General features: G+C 35.4%; 1 long non-coding RNA gene across 2 annotated transcripts in view; it reads left to right on the top strand.

Annotated features, from left to right (window-relative positions):
- Window positions 1–19,361, top strand: part of LOC105373667 (uncharacterized) — a 210,228-nt gene that overhangs the window by 98,004 nt on the left and 92,863 nt on the right. Inside the window, exons 2-3 of one of the 2 annotated variants that reach the window (XR_923421.3) lie at window positions 2,012–2,077; window positions 3,483–4,817. This is a non-coding gene — a long non-coding RNA (uncharacterized LOC105373667). Of the gene's footprint in view, window positions 1–2,011; window positions 2,078–3,482; window positions 4,818–19,361 lie in introns of those variants that run through there. The other variant, XR_923422.4, reaches the window with a different exon arrangement.

Here is a 19,361-nt window from a genome sequence, read left to right as displayed (position 1 = left end):
GCTAAATGGAAATTATTGAACACAAACTGTACATTGAGCAACAAAGGAGCAGAATGCCTTTGCAACAGTGCATTATTTTGATAAGTTTCAAAGTAACGCCATACTCAGAACTGGCTGGGTTATAAAAGGCAAAGAAAATGCAAAGACTGCATTTAGAAAATATGATTTCTGTGATTGAGAGAAAATATTTTATTCATTTTCATAAATGCAATGTTTGTGTATGTATTATTTTATTTTAGCCTTTTAACCAAATACATTTCTGAAAAAAATGAAACCTGTTGTTTCCCAGAATTGATTGTATTTGTAGTAGAGCCTGCTACTCCAAAAGCCATTCTACCTGTCCCCTGGTAGACTATATTGAATTAGCAGAGATTGCTAAAAAAGGTCCAGTAGTTCTGAACATTTGACTTCAGGAATAATGCTCTCACAATGATGGCATAAGAGAATGTATAGGAAATGGGTTATTCATCTGAAAACACCTGAAGGACTTCAAAAGCATTCATTAAAGTAATACACTGAAATGACTTCTGCAGAATATAAAACACAATGTTATTTTATATTGATTGATTGTTTCTGAAAGAAGAATTGTTAAACCAAGAAAAAAAGTAAACTCATAAGCACATTTAATTAAATGAATCTTACTGAAAGAATCACTTGCTTTTTGAATTTTTGGGACTGTTAGATATTATCATCTTAGATTCTGTAGGTAAAATCACAGCGTATTTTCTTTTCACTTAATTTTATCTTCCAAATAATTAGCATTACTCTTTTAAAATAAATAATAACACTTTTCCCCTTAAAATAACCCCAAATATTTGCATGAAACCAAATTCCGTTTGTTAAAATACTGTTCTAACAAACTGTCACATTTTAATATCTATAAACATCTTTATTTATTTAAACAGTAAGAGAAATAAATTCAGCAGAGAAAAATATGTCATTAATGTCATGAAAAGAAAGATCATATTAAAGAAAAATGTCTTTGACTATTCACTAATCGTGCATTATATGAGATTGAGATGGAATCCATTAGGCATAATATGAAGAGAGGAAACATATCAACTTCATGTACAAAAAGGAGTCTCTCAGACAATCTATGTGGATTCCCCAATCAAAAATAGAAACACCCACTCACATTGATTAAAATTTAATAGTGATTTAACTAATCAGGATGTTTATTCTAAGCAATTACATAGTAAGGCTAATTGTTAAATTTGTACAGCTTTGTTACTCTTGATCCTCCAGTGACATAAATTTAAAACGGGTTGAAGTTAATGACTAAGGGAATATAAACAAAATGGTTAAGTATTTTAAAATATTAAAAGGCTTAAGAACATGCTGGAGTAACACAAAAAGGTTTATTTCACACTGTGAAAATCGGACTTCCTGTGATGGATTTTGCACTTTCTGTTTGTAGAGCTATAAATTGTCTTAGGAAGGTCCTGAATTGGAGATCTATTTTTAAAGATATAAAGTAACTTTAAACAAAAGAAAAAGTATAAATGGAATTATTAACATTGTATTTGAGTAAAATTTTAAATGAAGTAGTTTGCATTTTATGCTTATATATTCTTGTGCTTATGTGTTTGTGTGAGTTTTAGGCATGTTGTTTTTAATTGAGTATTTTTCACCCAGGAGATATTGTCTATTTTAGAAAAAAAAATGAACAATGGACCAGATATTAATGTAATTTATCATTATATGGCATATAAAAACACATGTTAAAAAGCAGTTTTAAAACATAGTGATTTAACTGTGAATAAAAAGACTAGGCTTTTAATAATAAATAGCGTCAAAGTTTTATTTCCATGAGAAAATAGTTAAACTCCATAAATATTAAAGCATTAGAAGTTTTTTATTTTAATATTTAGGTGGTTTATATGCTATGTTTGTGTTAGCTAACTGGATATTAATGTATGCTTTAAATAGTCCGCTCAAAAATCTAGAAATATATATAAATTATAAGAAGAATAAATATTTACTCAGCTAAATTTATTTTTATCTCTTTCAGTTCCAGAGTTTGAATGTATTTCTTTACATGAAGAGGACCTAGGGATGAAAAAGTGAATTCAGTTTTGTAAGTATTTGTGATTCAATACCTCCTCCCAATTTCCTGGTTAACTGTAAGGTCATTCCCCAAACCGCAGGGCATTGGGGAAATATACAATTTTGGAATCATTATATCATTTCCTGTCCTATTTCCTGTCAACTGTTTCTGTCAGAAATGGCTAATCATGACCTATTTTCATCAAGCAAGAAAAGAAGCTAAGTCAGAATTATGCCGTTGAATTAAATCTTTTTCCTAAATGTAGTTATAAAATCTGGACTAAAGAGGGCAGGAGATACTCTATAAAAAAACTACAGAAGCCCAAGAAGAAATCTCTATGAGAAAATCATCCCCACATTTGAGCATATGATAAAGTGATTTATTTTCAATAAACTCTGTATAAATGCTTTAGTTACTTTGATGCAGTGATTAATGGGAGTTTCAATGATATTTGTAGGTGTGAGATTCCCTCTACACTCAATGTTCAGCCTACTTCATTGCGTTTGTATTGGCTATGAATGTTTCTTAAACATTCTTCTAAATTTCCAGCTGTTTCCTTCTCAATACAGGAGCAAGGAAGTTAATAGTGGCCTGTCACTACAAAACATGTCATTCATTTAGTGTAAAATATGAGGTCTTTCTAATCTTTACTCCACCCTCAAACTTATTTTTAAAAACACTTGACAACATATGTCATAAATGGATCTTTCTCTAAATCAAAGTGGATTTCTATGTATATACCAGCTGAAGGGACGTTTAATCTCTTCAGTAAAAGTCCATGACCTTCTTTTCCCTTTTTTGAAAACTTTTATAAATATATAGAGCAAAACTGAGAATCTGAAACCAGACTGCATGCTGGGAAATAAATGAATGATCATGATCATCATGTGGAGATGTGGAGGCACTATTCAAGGAAAATTGCTGAATAGAAACCAGGCACTACAACTTCTTCCTTCTTTACTTTCCAGTGGCACAATTTTATTTTAGTCTATAGATTTATAGTTAATCTGACATCTTCATAAGCATTTGTAGATATGAGGTACTTAAGTAGAAAGAAGAAATAGTTTTGAAAAGAATTATATATTTCATGTAGATATTATGTTTTAATTAAAATACCACATTATTTTTTCTTTGTATGTATTTAGTCAAGTTTTCACCATATTATATCTTAATTATCCTAATTTAGTTTACTTCAAAATAAAATTTAACTTCTAACTGAGAAGGAGGTTATACGAAATAATTATTATACTTATTATAGTGGATCTGTATGTTATTTCATTGAGTAAATTTAAACTTGAGCAGGCAAAAATAAATGTCAAGGTGCTTAACCTTTATTAATAGGATAAAATTTCAGGTAGCTGAAGATAGTCATATATAAAGAGTTTAACACTGAGTATAAATGTCTGGAAAATTTAAATTGCTTTTATTTGGGCAGGTTTTATAATTTCTCACCTCTCAGCACATCAGAAGTAAATATTGGCCCTGCACACTTGGATCCTTCTAAGCAGTGGATGCTTCTGTCAGGCTGAGACTAAGGTAAATAGTGGCTGATTTTCAGAGACTAACCTTCAGCTGTTAGATGAATGAGAGACATTGTCACCCACAAAATCACAACTACATGGGCTCTAGGCTATTTTTGTCAATGGCTGTAAATGCCTCTTTTCCTTAAATTGAAGTCAAAGAATCTAAGGCACCTCCCTAATGTCTGTCATTTGTTTTATTTTTCTGTCTTACGGAGATCAAACTTTTGGTTATTTGGAGAATTGGAGAAAAAGAGGCCCTTTCTGTTATAATGGAAAATAACTTACTGGTAACAGGAATAATCTCAATGATTTTATGACTTCATGTACATAGGTAAATATCACTTTGCATCCTATATAATACATTTCACATTTCCAACAGTGAAAAGGATTTTTAATGAAAAGTTTTTTCCCAGCTGTCTTTGGACCGAATATGAAGCCCAGGAAATTTCCAAAATGAGGTATTCTGAACATTTTATATAGTTAAATAAAAACATTCCATGACCTTTGTTGATCATAAAGTCTTAGGAATCTATGACTCTTAGATTCTTGATAGCATCTGGGTTGTTCTGGGTTTGCTGATGTTCAGGTTGTCTCTGAATTACATGGTGTGCTGAGAATGACACCCTCTTGGATTTGAACTTGGAAAATTAGTAGCAAACTTAACTGTTATCCTCATATCTAGATGAAGGTTCTGCAATAGTTACAGTGATTGCTTTAAGGCTACATAAGGTACTTCATTATATGCAGTGGCCTTGTGAAATTTACAGGATTTTTTCACTTGCTGAAACATATCATGTTGAAGTTTAATTCCCTTCAGGCCAGTAAATATTTATTGAGGGCCCACTCAGAATATTTGAAGATGGTAAACCAATCTTGTCAGAATATGTAAACATATATTCCTGTAACTGAGTTTTTTTCTGAAATACATCAATATAATCCCAATACCAATTGTTTTATAAGACAGAGGGAGAAGAGAGAAGGGGATGATGTGGAAAACTGCTATTTAAAATTTTTTTTTAAATCAGAAATTTAGATGATGCTCTCAGAATTGCTTTCATGATAGTCTAAGGCTTATGGTGATCAGAGACACTATTGGAAATTGTCCACAGAAATTAGTTGATAATGCTATTTAAAAATTAGACTTATTTTGTTCTTGAATAAAAAATACTGACCTATGCAACCAGCCTGGGCAATATAGTGTGACCTCTATCTCAAAAAAAAAGAAATTAAAAATAATAATCAAAAAATATATGTATACACATGCACACACACACACACACACACACATATATACACACACATACATATATATGAACCTAAATTTTAAACACATGGTTTACTGTGTGTGGAGAAAATAGTAATGCTGTTTGGTTTTGAGGATTTTATTTTGTTTTGAAATTACGGGGATTTGTTACCTTTCATTTGCAGATACAGTAAAAATGTATGATTCCTGTCACGTTGATCCTTGAATAGGTGTGACTATAAAGAAGCAATACTGATTTTTTAAAGATAAACAAACTGCACAAAGTTAAAACAGGATTGATCTTTAATGTAGTTATTTCAAGTATAGTGAGTAGAATCATGGGTTACAAAAAAATACTTACAACTTCATTTGGAAATATCTTCTGATGCCGTTTATAACCTTTTCTCTTGCTCTTTCTCTCTGTCATAGAGTTCAGTGTTGTCTCCAGTGTTTACTCAGTCTTATAGAGTGAAAAAATCAAAGGTTTTAACCTCTGGGTGTCTCAGTTTCTGTATCTGAAAAAAAAAAAATACCCATTATGATAATCACTTAGACTGCAGTTTCTGGCATTAATTCTGTCTCAGGTATAAGTCAATTACTTAAGAAGGTACTGGCATATTTGATCAATAGCAAAATGATTGGAAAGAAATGAGATGCATAACCTCACCTTTTAAGAAGGCAACATACATGTGGATGTATAAATCTGAATTATTATTTAAAATCAGACTCAATGATTCAGAGCCATACCTCTAAGGTCTCTAATGTCCTTTCTTCTGAATGTTGGCCTTCCCCCCAGGATCATATGTTGAAACCTAATACCCAATGTGACATGGGATTTGGGGAGGTGATTTGGCCTTCATGAATTGGATCAGAGCCCTTACAAAAGAGGCATGAGGGAGCTTTTTTTAATGTTTTTAATTTTTTTTATTTTTATTATACTTTAAGTTTTAGGCTACATGTGCACAACGTGCTGGTTTGTATACATATGTGCCATGTTGGTGTGCTGCACCCAGTAACTCCTCATTTAACATTAGGTATATATCCTAATGCTATCCCTCCCCCCCTCCCCCCACCCCACAACAAGCCCCTGTGTGTGATGTTCCCCTTCCTGTGTCCATGTGTTCTCATTGTTCAATTCCCACCTGTGAGTGAGAACATGCGGTGTTTGGTTTTTTATCCTTGCGATAGTTTGCTGAGAATGATGGTTTCCAGCTTCATCCATGTCCCTACAAAGGACATGAACTCATCATTTTTTATGGCTGCATAGTATTCCATGGTGTATATGTGCCACATTTTCTTAATCCAGTCTATCATGGTTGGACATTTGGGTTGGTTCCAAGTCTTTGCTATTGTGAATAGTGCTGCAATAAACATACGTGTGCATGTGTCTTTATAGCAGCATGATTTATAATCCTTTGGATATATATGTGGTAATGGGATGGCTGGGTCAAATGGTATTTCTAGTTCTAGATCCCTGAGGTATCGCCACACTGACTTTCACAATGGCTGAACTAGTTTACAGTCCCACCAGCAGTGTAAAAGTGTTCCTATTTCTCCACGTCCTCTCCAGCACCTGTTGTTTCCTGACTTTTTAATGATCGCCATTCTAACTGGTGTGAGATGATATCTCATTGTGGTTTTGATTTGCATTTCTCTGATGGCCAGTTGTGATGAGCATTTTTCATGTGTCTGTTGGGTGCAAAAATGTCTTCTTTTGAGAAGTGTCTGTTCATATCCTTTGCCCACTTTCTGATGGGGTTGTTTTTTTTTTTCTTGTAAATTTGTTTGAGTTCATTGTAGATTCTGGATATTAGCCCTTTGTCAGATGAGTAGGTTGCAAAAATTTTCTCCCGTTCTGTAGGTTGTCTGTTCACTCTGATGGTAGTTTCTTTTGCTGTGCAGAAGCTCTTTAGTTTAATTAGATCCCATTTGTCAGTTTTGGCTTTTGTTGCCATTGCTTTTGGTGTTTTAGACATGAAGTCCTTGCCCATGCCTACGTCCTGAATGGTATTGCCAGGTTTTCTTCTAGGGTTTTTATGATTTTAGGTCTAACATTTAAGTCTTTAATCCATCTTGAATTAATTTTTGTATAAGGTGTAAGGAAGGGATCCAGTTTCAGCTTTCTACATATGGTTAGCCAGTTTTCCCAGCACCATTTATTAAATAGGGAATCCTTTCCCCTTTTCTTGTTTTTGTCAGGTTTGTCAAAGATCAGATAGTTGTAGATATGTGGCATTATTTCTGAGGGCTCTGTTCTGTCCCATTGGTCTATATCTCTGTTTTGGTACCAGTACCATGCTGTTTTGGTTACTGTAGCCTTGTAGTATAGTTTGAAGTTAGGTAACATGATGCCTCCAGATTTGTTCTTTTGGCTTAGGATTGACTTGGCAATGTGGGCTCTTTTTTGGTTCCATATGAACTTTAAAGTAGTTTTTTCCAATTCTGTGAAGAAAGTCATTGGTAGCTTGATGGGGATGGCCTTTCGTTCCTTCTCTCACCTGAGTTTGCAGCCACAAGGCACTGTTCATGAAGCAGTGAGCAGGCACTTATCAGACATCAAATTTGCTAGTGCCTTAATCTTGGATTTCCTAGCCTCCAGAACTATGAGAATCAAACGTCTGTTGTTTATAAATTATCCAGTATAAAGTACATTTTATAGCAACCTGAACTGACTAAGACATCGACTCTGTACACAAGTTGGGACAAGTGAACTCCAACACAAGGTTGCATTCAGCACTCGGGGCATGGTCTTTTGCTCTTTCCTTGGGTAGTCAAGATTTACCATTAATATACCGCTAAGAAGAGGAACTGGTGTCAACTCAGGAGAAAAACCAATAAAATTAGTTCTAGTTAAGAAGCATAAAGTTGTGCATATACCTAATTTTACAATTTAAAATGTAACTTATAAGTTTACATTTTCCAAAATCCGTGTATTTTTCTATGGAGAAAATACTTAAACAAAAATTATAGTGCTTTATTTTCATTCTATATATTTTTTTAAACTAAAAAAGTGGTCAGTTTATTCCCCAATTGATTAAACTGATAAAATTACGTTTAAAGTGTTATTAGGAAGCAGTGACTGTTCATGTGACTAAATCACACCATTACCAAACATGAGAAGGTAATTGAATGAAAATAATAGCTTTTGAAATTTGTTGAAGCAACTTCCATCAATATGCTTGCCATGGGGAACAGTGGCAAAAGAAAACCTTCTCGTTTCCTTTTGTATTTATAGGTTTTTGGCCCAGTTCTAAGTGAATGCAATATATTTCAGAACATCCTTTCCTTTTAGACTTCTCTATTTTGTCTTCCCCTATTCATCCTTCTCTTGGTGGCTTTTTAATTTTTCCCAGACTTTGTTCCTTTTCTGAACTTTTACCCCACCATTTACACTTCAACTATCTAAGAAGATTCCTTAACTTTATAATTGGCATATGAATACAAGAAATGTTGGTTTAAAGATTTGTTCTAATTTCTTTTAGCCTCTTCAAGACATTGTGCTTGAAATATGTCTGGTTAACCAATAAAAGTGGAATGTAGCTGCTCGCAGCATTTTTATTTATCATAGAACTTTGAGGGAAGAATTATGTATATTGGAGATATCTTTAGCACTTGATGAAAACATGAATTCAGACTTTGATAAGATGTTTCTGGGTTTTAGTAGATTTGTTTCTACAGGGTGATCTGGTTTTACTTCATTTATTGACAGTTGTTAAAAGAAATGTTAAGTGAGGTCCTTTTAGAGAACAGTTGGATTTAAAGCAATTCATTGTAATGGCATTTTAAATGGTTGCACAAATATAATAGAAAAGCTTACATTTTTGCCATCATTCCTAATGAAAAATTAATTTATAAATTCTCTTTTATAGGCATGGATTCATGTTCAACAAATCAATTTCCTGCTCCTCTTTTATTATCAAGTAACAGATTCAATAAGTAAAAATATTCTGTAAATTTAAGATCATTTCCTATTATACATGCACACAGTTTTAAAGTACCTTGTTTTGGCAGGGCACGGTGGCTCACACCTGTAATCCCAGCACTATGGGACGCTGAGGTGGGCAGATCACTAGGTCAGGAAGATGAGACCAGCCTGGACAACATGGTGAAACCCCGTCTCTACTAAAAATACAAAAAAATTTAGGTGGGCATGGTGGTGGACACCTGTAATCCCAGCTACTTGGGAGGCTGAGGCAGGAGAATTGCTTGAACCCAGGAGGCGGAGGTTGCAGTAAGCCAAGATTGCGCCACTGGGGAACAAAAGCAAGACTCCGTCTCAAAAAAAAAACAAAAAAAAAAAAAACAAAAAAAAAAAACCTTGTTTCTCTACACATTTTAGCCAGAATGTTTAAGACAGTGTCGTATTTGTCAGTAATAGAAGGATCGGACCAGGAAAAGGTGAATACACACACACACACACACACACACACATATACAAACACACACACACACACATATGTATGTACATATATACACAAACGAAACAAAAAAATCCAATAAGATTACACCTGTCATATCATGGTCTAGAACAAATGGACTTCATAGATGGGGAGCCCACATAAGATACGCTTTGTGAGATTGTAAATTTAGCATTAAAAAACAAGCATCCGTTGCCCTCAAATTCCATCTTATGCTTGAGGGTTGGTAACTTAGATGACTGGATAGTCATTTGGTCTAAAAGAGCCAACTTGAAGGTAGTTAAAGAGTTTACTTTAAATCAGCATGCTTAACCAGTTCTGAGGCAGGTGTAGAAACATCAGCAATGTTGTGAAACTTTAATTTGAAAGGTTTACTCATCCTGAACATGGAGTTTTAAATGTTATTTTCTTTGTTAGGTCTTAAAATGTTGGAATCAAGTCAGTTCTTAGTTCATTTTACGTACATTTCTTCCTTTTCTCATACAAATATGTTGTGCTTTGAGAAGTCCTCTTAAACTGCAATTACTTTGGGGTATTTTCTTTTTAATTCAAGAAATAGAAGCAGAAAATCAGACTTGGATTCCTGGCTCCGTACCAACAACTCACAGTTCTCTTCAGCTCTTTTCTGTTCTGCTTCTGTAACTGGATAGATGATGGTTACTTTTAATGGCTGCTTTGGGGCTTCAGGGGGGTGGTGCGGAATTTTATACATACACACTCACAGGAAAAGAAAGCTATTATGGACATGAGATTGTTGAAAGCTTTACTGACTTTCATGCTGTGAGAAGAAGACACGGAGATACCTTATGCTTTTGATGCCTGAGGGCCACTAACCAAAAAGGGAAGAAGAAAAACACATTTACATGTTGTGGCTCTGATTCAAAATTCTTTTCCTTTTTTCCATCTATGGGTGCCCAAATGGGGGCAAAAAGTCAGCACCTCAAACTTTTTTGTTGTTGAAAGGGTAACACATGTCTCAACTTTCGTCACATATTCCCAGCGAAGTGAAAACTAAGTAAATTGAGCTTCAAGTCACTAATGTTTTCTTCCTGTTACAACCATAGCCTCATGGTGAACTTTAGAAAAAGGTTCGAATTTTTCACAATAATTTTCCCTTGACATAAGTGCTTGATAATTAAACAAAATTCTTCCCCTTGAGTCAGATTTTTTTCTTCAGAGGGATAAGTCAGATAGGTTTGAAATCTGATCCAAAGTTCAATCAAATGTTATCTCTTCTTTAAAAAAAATGGTATCCAAGTCAGTCATTATATGTATTGCTTACATTTAGGAGAAACTATGAGCTCATGTTATGACCAATGCTATCGTCCTGTGAAATCTCAAGTGTGCCTTGATTTTTTTTTTAATTTTAAGAAAGTGAAAACAATTATCTCAATGCACCTCATGAAACCTTTCTTTCACATCACTCTTAAAAATCTGGGATGAAATGGGACTGGGATAAGTCAGAATAGCTACTAATGGGCAGTTGCCAAATATCAAATCAAGTCATACAAAATATGTAAAATCTGTACACTCTAACTTGGATTTGTAAGAATAATTTGTCTTTTAGATGGGAAAAAGCAAACACGCACACCACACACACAAGTCTCGTGGGATAGATTTAGATTTTAAGTCTTGTTGGGATTAAATACAATGGCAACAATTATAAGTAGAGAAAAAATTTAATTAATTATTTCCATAACTTACTGGGGTACAGGTGGTATTTGGTTACATGAGTAAGTTCTTTAGTGGTGGTTTTTGAGATTTTGGTGCACCCATAACCCGAGCAGTATACACTGCACCATACTTGTTGTCTTTTATCCATTGGTTCCTCCCACTCTTCCCTCCAAGTCCCCAAAGTCCATTGTATCATTGATATATGTATATATATGATATATATCATATATGTGATACATATCATATATGTGATATATATAATTTGTATCATATCTATATATGATATATATATATATATCACATATCTCACAGTTTCTTTATCCACTCATTGATTGATGGGCATTTGGGTTGGTTCCACAATTTTGCTATTGTGAATTGTGCCACTATAAACAAGTGTGTGCAAGTATCTTTTCCAAATAATGACTTCTTTTCCTCTGGGTAGATACCCAGTAGTGGCATTGCTGGATCAAATGGTAGTTCTACTTTTAGTTCTTTAAGGAATCTCCACACTGTTTTCCATAGTGGCTGTACTAGTTTACATTCCCACAAGCAGTGTAGAAGTATTCCCTGTTCACCACATCCATGCAAACATCTACCATGTTTTGATTTTTTGATTATGGCCATTCTTGCAGGAGTAAGGTGGTATGGGGTTGTGGTTTTGATTTGCATTTCCCTGATCATTAGTGATGTTGAGCATTTTTTCATATGTTTGTTGGCCATTTGTATGTCTTCTTTTGAGAATTGTCTATTCATGTCCTTAGCCCACTCTTTGATGGGAGTGTTTGTTTTTTCCTTACTGATTTGTTTGAATCTGTTGTCGATTCTGGATATTTGTTGTCTGTTTACTCTGCTGACTGTTCCTTTTGCCGTGCAAAAGCCCTTTAGTTTAATTAGGTCTCAGCTATTTATCTTTGTATTTATTGCATTTGCTTTGGGGCTCTTCATCATGAAATCTTTGCCTAAGTCAATGTCTAGAAGGGCTTTTCCAATGTTATCTTCTAGAATTTTTATAGTTTCAGGTATTAAGTTTAAGTCCTTAATCCATCTTGAGTTGATTTTTGTATAAGGTGAGAGATGAGGATCCAGTTTCATTCTCCTACATTTGGCTAGCCAATTATCCCAGCGTGATTTGTTGAAACGGGTGTCCTTTCCCCACTTTATAGTTTTTGTTTGCTTTGTTGAAGATCAGTTGGCTGTAAGTATTTAGGTTTATTTCTGAGTTCTCTATTCCATTCCATTGGTCTATGTGCCTATTTCTATACAAGTACCATGCTGTTTTGGTTACTATGCCCTTATAGTGTAGTTTGAAATCAGGTTGTGTGATGCCTCCAGATTTGTTCTGTTTGCTTAGTCTTGCTTTGACTATACAGGCTCTTTTTTGGTTCCATATGAATTTTAAATTGTTTTTTTCTAATTCTGTGAAGAATGATTGTGGTATTTTGATAGGGATTGCATTGAATTTGTAGATTGCTTTTGGTAGTATGGTCATTTTCACAATGTTGATTCTACCTAGCCATGAGCATGGGATGTGTTTCCATTTGTTTGTGTCATCTGTGATTTCTTTCAGCAATGTTTTGTTGTTTTCCCTGTAGAGGTCTTTTGACTCCTTGGTTAGGTATATTCTTAAGTATTCTACTTTATTCTTAAGTATTTTACTTTTTTTGCAGCTGTTGTAAAAGGAATTGATTTCTTGATTTGATTCTCTGCTTGGTCGCTGTTTTTGCATAGAAGAGCTAACTAATTTGTCTACATTAATCTGGGATCTGGAAACTTTGCTGAATTCTTTTATCAGTTCTAGGAGCTTTCTAGAGGAGTCCTTAGGGTTTTCAAGGTAAATGATCATATCGTCATCAAACAGTGACAGTTTGACTTCCTCTTTACCAACTTTCATGCCCTTTATTTATTTATCTTGTCTGATTTCTCTGGCTAGGACTTCTAGTACAGTGTTGAAGAGGAGTGGTGAAGGTGGGCATCATTGTCTTGTTCCAGTTCTCAGAGGTAATGCTTTCAACTTTTCTCTATTCAGTATTCTGTTGGCGGTGGGTTTGTCATAGATGGCTTTTATTACATTAAGGTGTGTCCCTTAAATCTTGATTTTCCTGAGAGTTTTAATCATGAAGGGATGCTGGATTTTATCAAATGCTTTTTCTGCATCTACTGAGATGATCAGGTGACTTTGGTTTTTAATTCTCTTTATGTGGTGTACCACATTTATTGACTTACATATGTTAAACCTTCCCTGCATCCCTGATATGAAACCCACTTGATCATGGTGGATTATCTTTTTGATTATTGTTGGATTATGTTAGCTAATATTTTGTTAACGATTTTAGCATCAGTGTTCATCAAGGATATTAGTCTGTAATTTACTTTTTTGGTTACATCCTTTCCTGGTTTTGGTTTCAGGATGATGCTGGCTTCATAAAATGAATTAGGGAGGTTCCTTCTTTCTCCATCTTGTGGAATAGTTTTGAAAGGATTGGTACCAATTCTTCTTTGAATGTCTGGTAGAATTCTGCTGTGAATCTCTCTGGTCCTGGACTTTTTCTGTTGGAAATTTTAAAATTACTATTTCAGTGATCTGTTCAGGGTATCTAATTCTTCCTGATTTAAGCTAGGAGGCTTGTATTTTTCCTGGAATTTATCCATCTCTTCTAGGTTTTCTAATTTATGTATGTAAAGGTGTTCATAGTAGCCATGAGTGATCTTTTGTATTTCAGTGTTGTCAGTTGTAGCATCTCCTGTTTCATTTCTGGTGAGGTTATTTGGATTTTCTCTCTTCTTTTCTTGGTTTATCTTGCTAATGATCTATCAATTTTATTTGTGTTTTTAAAGAACCAGCTTTTGGTTTCATTTATCTTTTGTATTTTTCAGTTTCATTTAGTTCTGCTCTGATCTTGGTAATTTCCTTTCTTCTCCTAAGTTTGGGTTTGGTTTGTTCTTGTTTCTCTAGCTCCTTAAGGTGTGACCTCAGAATGTCAGTTTGTGCACTTTCAGTCTTTTTGATGTACGTACTTAGGGCTATGAACTTTCCTCTTAGCACCACCTTTGCTTTATCCCAGAGGTTTTGATAGGTTTTGTCGTTATTGCCATTCAGTTTGAATAATTTTCTAATTTCCATCTTGATTTTGTTTTTGGCCCAATGCTCATTCAGGAGCAGGCTATTTAATTTCCATATATTTGCATGGTTCTGAAGGTTACTTTAGAAGTTGATAGCCAATTTTATTCCACTGTGATCTGAGAGAGTGCTTGATATAATTTCAATTTTCTTATATTTATTGAGGCTCATTTTATGGCCTATCATATGGCCATGGAGAAAGTTCCATGCACTGTTGAATAGAATGTTTATTCTGCTGTTGTTGGATGAAATGTTCTGTATATACCTGTTAAGTTCATTTGTTTCAATGTATAGTTTAAATCCATTGTTTGTTGACTTTCTGTCTTGATAGGCTGTCTAGTGTTGTCAGTGGCATATTGAAGTCCCCCACTATTATTTGGTTGCTGTCTATTTCATTTCATAGGTCTATTAGTAATTGTTTAACAAATTCGGGAGCTCCAATGTTAGGTTCTTATGTGTTTAGGATTGTGATATTTTCATGTTGGACAAGACCTTTGATCATTATATAACATCCCTCTCTGTCGCTTTTGACTGCTAATGCCTTAAAATTTGTTTTGTCTTATATAAGAATAGCTACCCCTGCTAGCTTTTGGTATTCATTTGCATGAGATGCCTTTTTCCACCCCTTTACTTTAAATTTATGTGAGTCCTTATGTGTTAGGTGAGTCTCCTGAAGGCAGCAGATAATTGGTTGGTGAGTTCTTATCCATTCTGCAGTTCTGTATCTTTTAAGTGGAGCATTTAGGCCATTTACATTCAATGTTAGTATTGAAATGTGAGGTATGGTTGCATTCATCATGCTTTTTGTTGCCTGTGTACTTTGGTTTTTTGTTTTTGCTCTTTAACAAATATTTTTGTTTTATAGGTCCTGTGTGATTTATGCTTTAAAGATGTACTGTTTTGATTTGTTTCCAGGATTTGTTTCAAGATTTAGAGCTCCTTTTAGCAGTTCTCGTAGCGGTGGCTCAGTAATGGCGAATTCCCTCAGCATTTGTTTGTCTAAGAACAACTGTATTTTTCCTTCACTGATGATACTTAGTTTCACTGGATACAAAATTCTTGGCTGTTAACTGGTTTGTTTGAAGAGGCTGAATATAGGGACCCATTCCCTTCTAGCCTGCAGGGTTTCTGCTGAGAAATCTGCTGTTAATCTGATAGGTTTTCTTTATAGGTGAGTTGGTGCTTCTGTCTCACAGCTCTTAAGGTTCTTTTTTTCATCTTAACTTTGGATAACCTGATGACAACATGCCTAGGTGAAGATCTTTTTGCAATTAATTTTCCAGGTGTTCTTTGTGCTTCTTGTATTTGGATGTCAAGGTCTCTAGCAAGGTCAGGGAAGTTTTCCTCAATTATTCCCCTGAAAATGTTTTCCAAGCTTTTAGAATTCTCTTCTTCCTCAGGAGCAACACTGATTATTCTTAAGTTTGGTCATTAAACATAATCCCAGACTTCTTGGAGACTTTGTTCATATTTTCTTATTTTTTTTCTTTGTCTTTGTTGGATTGGGTTAATTCAAAGACCTTACCTTTGAGCTCTGAATTCCTTTCTTCTACTTGTTCAGTTCTATTTCTGAGACTTTCCAGGGCATTTTGCATTTCTAAAAGTGTGTCCAAAGTTTCCTGAATTTTTAATTGTTTTTTTTTCTTTAAGCTATCTATTTACTTGAATATTTCTCCCTTCACTTCTTGTATCATTTTTTTGGATTTCCTTGCAGTGGGCTTCGCCTTTCTCTGGTCCCTCCCTGATCAGCTTAATAACTAAACTCCTGAGTTCTTTTACAAGTAAATCAGGGATTTATCCTTGGTTTGGATCCATTGCTGGTGAACTAGTGTGATACTTTGGGGATGTTGAAGAGCCTTGTTTTGTCATATTACCAGGGTTGGTTTTCTGGTTCCTTCTCATTTGGGCAGGCTCTGTCAGAGGGAAGGTTTAGTGCCAAAGGCTGTTGTTCAGATTCTTTTGTCCCACAGGGTGTTCCCTTGATGTAGTATTCTCCCCCTTTCTCTATGGATGAGGCTTCCTTAAGCTGAACTGCAGTGATTGTTGTCTCTCTTCTGGGTCTAGCCACTCAGCGAGTCTACCCAGCTCTGGGCTGGTACTGGGGGCTGTCTGCACAGGGTCCTATGATATGAACCATCTCTGAATCTCTCAGCCATGGATATCCGCGCCTGTTCTGGTGGACGTGGTGGAGGGTGCAATGGACTCTGTGACGGTTCTTAGCTTTGGTGGTTTAATGCTCTATTTTTGTGCTGGTTGGCCTCCTGCCAGGAGGTGGTGCTTTCCAGAAAGCATCAGCTGTGGTAGTATGGAGAGGGACCAGTGGTGGGTAAGCCCTAGAACTCCCAAGATTATATGCCCTTTGTCTTCTGCTACCATGATGAATAGGGAAGAATCATCAGGTGGGGGTGAGGCTAGGTGTACCTGAGCTCAGACTGTCTTTGGGCAGGTCTTGCTGCAGCTGCTGTTGGTGATGGGAGTGAGATTCCCAGGTCACTGGAGTTGTGTACCTAGGAGGATTATGTCTGCCTCTGCTGAGTCATGCGGTTTGTCAGGGAAGTGGAGGAAAGCCAGCAGTCGCACGCCTCACCCAGCTCCATGCAAACCAAAGGGCTGATATCACTCCCACCATGCCCCACCAACAGTCCCGAGTCTGTTTTTAGGTAGAGAGCATGATGGGCTTTAAAAATTGTCCCAGGCTACCCACCTCCCAGCTGTGAGAGAAAAGGGCTTGGTTCTTTCCCTGCCTGTGGAGTCTGTGCACCAGATTTGCATCCTCCCCTGAGTTCTGGCCAGGAGGCTATTCACCCCATTCAAATTGCTAAAAATTTCAGCTAGAGATTTTCTTCTCCTGGTGAAGTTTTACCACCTTTCCCTCTGGTCCCCCACCTGATAGATCTCTGTGGTGCCAGGCAGGAATGGCCTGCTAGGGGACACAGAGAGTTCCCAGGGCCTCTCTGCTGCCTCCTCTAACCCTGCATTTTGCTTGGCTCTCTAAATTGGCTCAGCTCCAGTTTCTCCAGTGTAGGTGTGTGTTTGGGAGAGGAGGGTCTCTCTTTTCCACTTCTGCAGTCGGGGCACTCAGACAATTTGGGGTGGCTCCCAGGTCCTGCAGAAACAGTCTTCTTCTTTCAGAGGGTCTGTGGGTCCTCTTGGGACTGCTGGTTTGTTCTTGCATTAGATCTGGAGCTAACATTCACAATGCGAGCTTCTGCAAGCTGCTTTGTCCAGAGCTGCAATCTAGTCCTGCCTCCCATCCACCATGATGATCCTCTTCTCAAGGTAGAGAAATTATCACACATTCTTATTAAGTAGTAAGCTGTCCTTGGTTAAAATTTGGGAAATACACATTCATGTTGCTTCTAAAATTACATCTATCATTGAGTCCATACAATCAAAATTTTCCTGATATTCAAAAATATATATTTGAAGAATATTTTAACATTTCCTCCTATGGAACGTTACAGTTCCATATACATGATTGTATGACCCATGGCTGATATTTATTATAGACCTGTTTATGCGTCATTCTGCCATTCAACTGAAAAAGACGTAAATTTATTTCACAAAAAAAATACAATCATGATGTCCAAAATGAAAGCCAAAAAAAAGCAACAGCACTACCAACAAAATCCAAAATTTCTAGGTTATTTTGCTCTTTGTGTGTGTGTGTGTGTGTGTGTGTGTGTGTGTGTGTGTTTTAAATTTTTTCCACAGCTCTGTTTCCTTTGGACTGAGAAACAAGTTATTATGTGTTTATCTCACCACTGAAAAATGATAAGTCTCTAATTTCTCTCAAGTTAGTGCTCCTCTAACCAGGTATTCAGTTTTCTAAAAGAAAGCAAACACCTGATTACTGAAATATATTAACTATATAATAGCATACTTTTTCCAAGCAGCTTTTGTATGTTGTCTTGTTTTATCCTTCTTTTATTACAGAGATATGTGGAAAATGCTATGCTCAGTTTGAAAGAAAGAAACTGAAGCACATAAGAAGGAAGTGAGTTTACTAAAATCACCGAACTAATTGATAATTAATTCTTATTTTCATTCCATACAAAGTAAAATATTAAGGAGAGTAATTGCCCTGGTTATTTCATCCCTATTTCAAGGTTGGTTCTATCTTTACTTTACATTTGAGGAAACTGAAGTCTAGAATTAATTAACTTGCCCATTTTTATGCAACTAGTAAGTGATAATCTGAGGTTTTAATCTTACTAGGGCTGACTTTAAAGGCCAGTCTTTTCAAATTGTATAGCTTCTTAGATTGGTCTAGTTTTGTATTCTAAATGATACTTCACAAGTCATACCTTCCCTTATAACTTTTTTTGGTGGAGATTAGGACTGCCAATTAATTGAATAAAATTTACTTCACTCAGAACAAGTATTTGTAGAGAAATAGCAATTATGCAATTCTTTCGCAGATGGTTAAAATATACTGTTATTTTTATATTCTACTGTCAAGTTGAAAAAAATCTGAGTGGTCTTGGTAAGAATACTGTGTCTGTTCATAATACATGTTTATTATTGCTGAAAGAAGGAATAAAACTAATCAGAATAAAATTTCAAACTAAGTTAGCAGTTTTTATCTTATTAAATGTAAACTATGTGTGCATAATATTCACAAAAAATGGACACAAAAACATAATAATACAATAGCACTCTTTTAACAACTAACCTGCTTAGGAAATTACATATTATGCATATTATTGATATTTCTGGGTTTCTTGCTGAAATTTATTCTCCTCCTTCTTTCTGCAGATGTAAGCCACAATCTTGTATGTACTGTTAATACTTCTCAATATATATGGCTATATACTTCAAAATATATGTATGTTTCAATATATAATATTTAGTTTTATATTGTATATTTCAAATATAAAACCGCACTTTTGAGGCATAAACACATAAGACTGAGGCTGAACCAGGACAACATATAAAATCTCTGCTCCTGCCCATCAGCTGAGTAACCATCTAGTAACAAGCAAGAGCAGCAGAGCACTAGAGGAGGGGCAAGCAAGAGGAGAGAAACCACATCTGTGACAAAGGCATGTATGTAAGGTTGAAAGCTGAGGATGGGCCAAGAAAAAGGAGAAAATTCTTTTGACTCTGCTGCCCCTACTCTAAGCTTAGGCAATAGAATTTCACTGCTGAAAAGACTTGAAGACTGTTGTGTCTTGAACATACTCTTAGCAAAACATACCAAGGAACCAGCCAATACCTCATACTAAGAGCCTGACAAATTGATTGTTTTCAGGCATGTTACTCTTTCTCTTAGTCACTACTGCTTTATACATTGTGACCAACATTTAATCAAAATTATAAGAAAAAATAAAAACAA

This window comes from Homo sapiens, chromosome 2 (assembly GCF_000001405.40).
Source record: "Homo sapiens chromosome 2, GRCh38.p14 Primary Assembly".
Lineage (NCBI taxonomy): Eukaryota > Metazoa > Chordata > Mammalia > Primates > Hominidae > Homo > Homo sapiens.
This window is presented reverse-complemented; position numbering and strand designations above follow the sequence as displayed.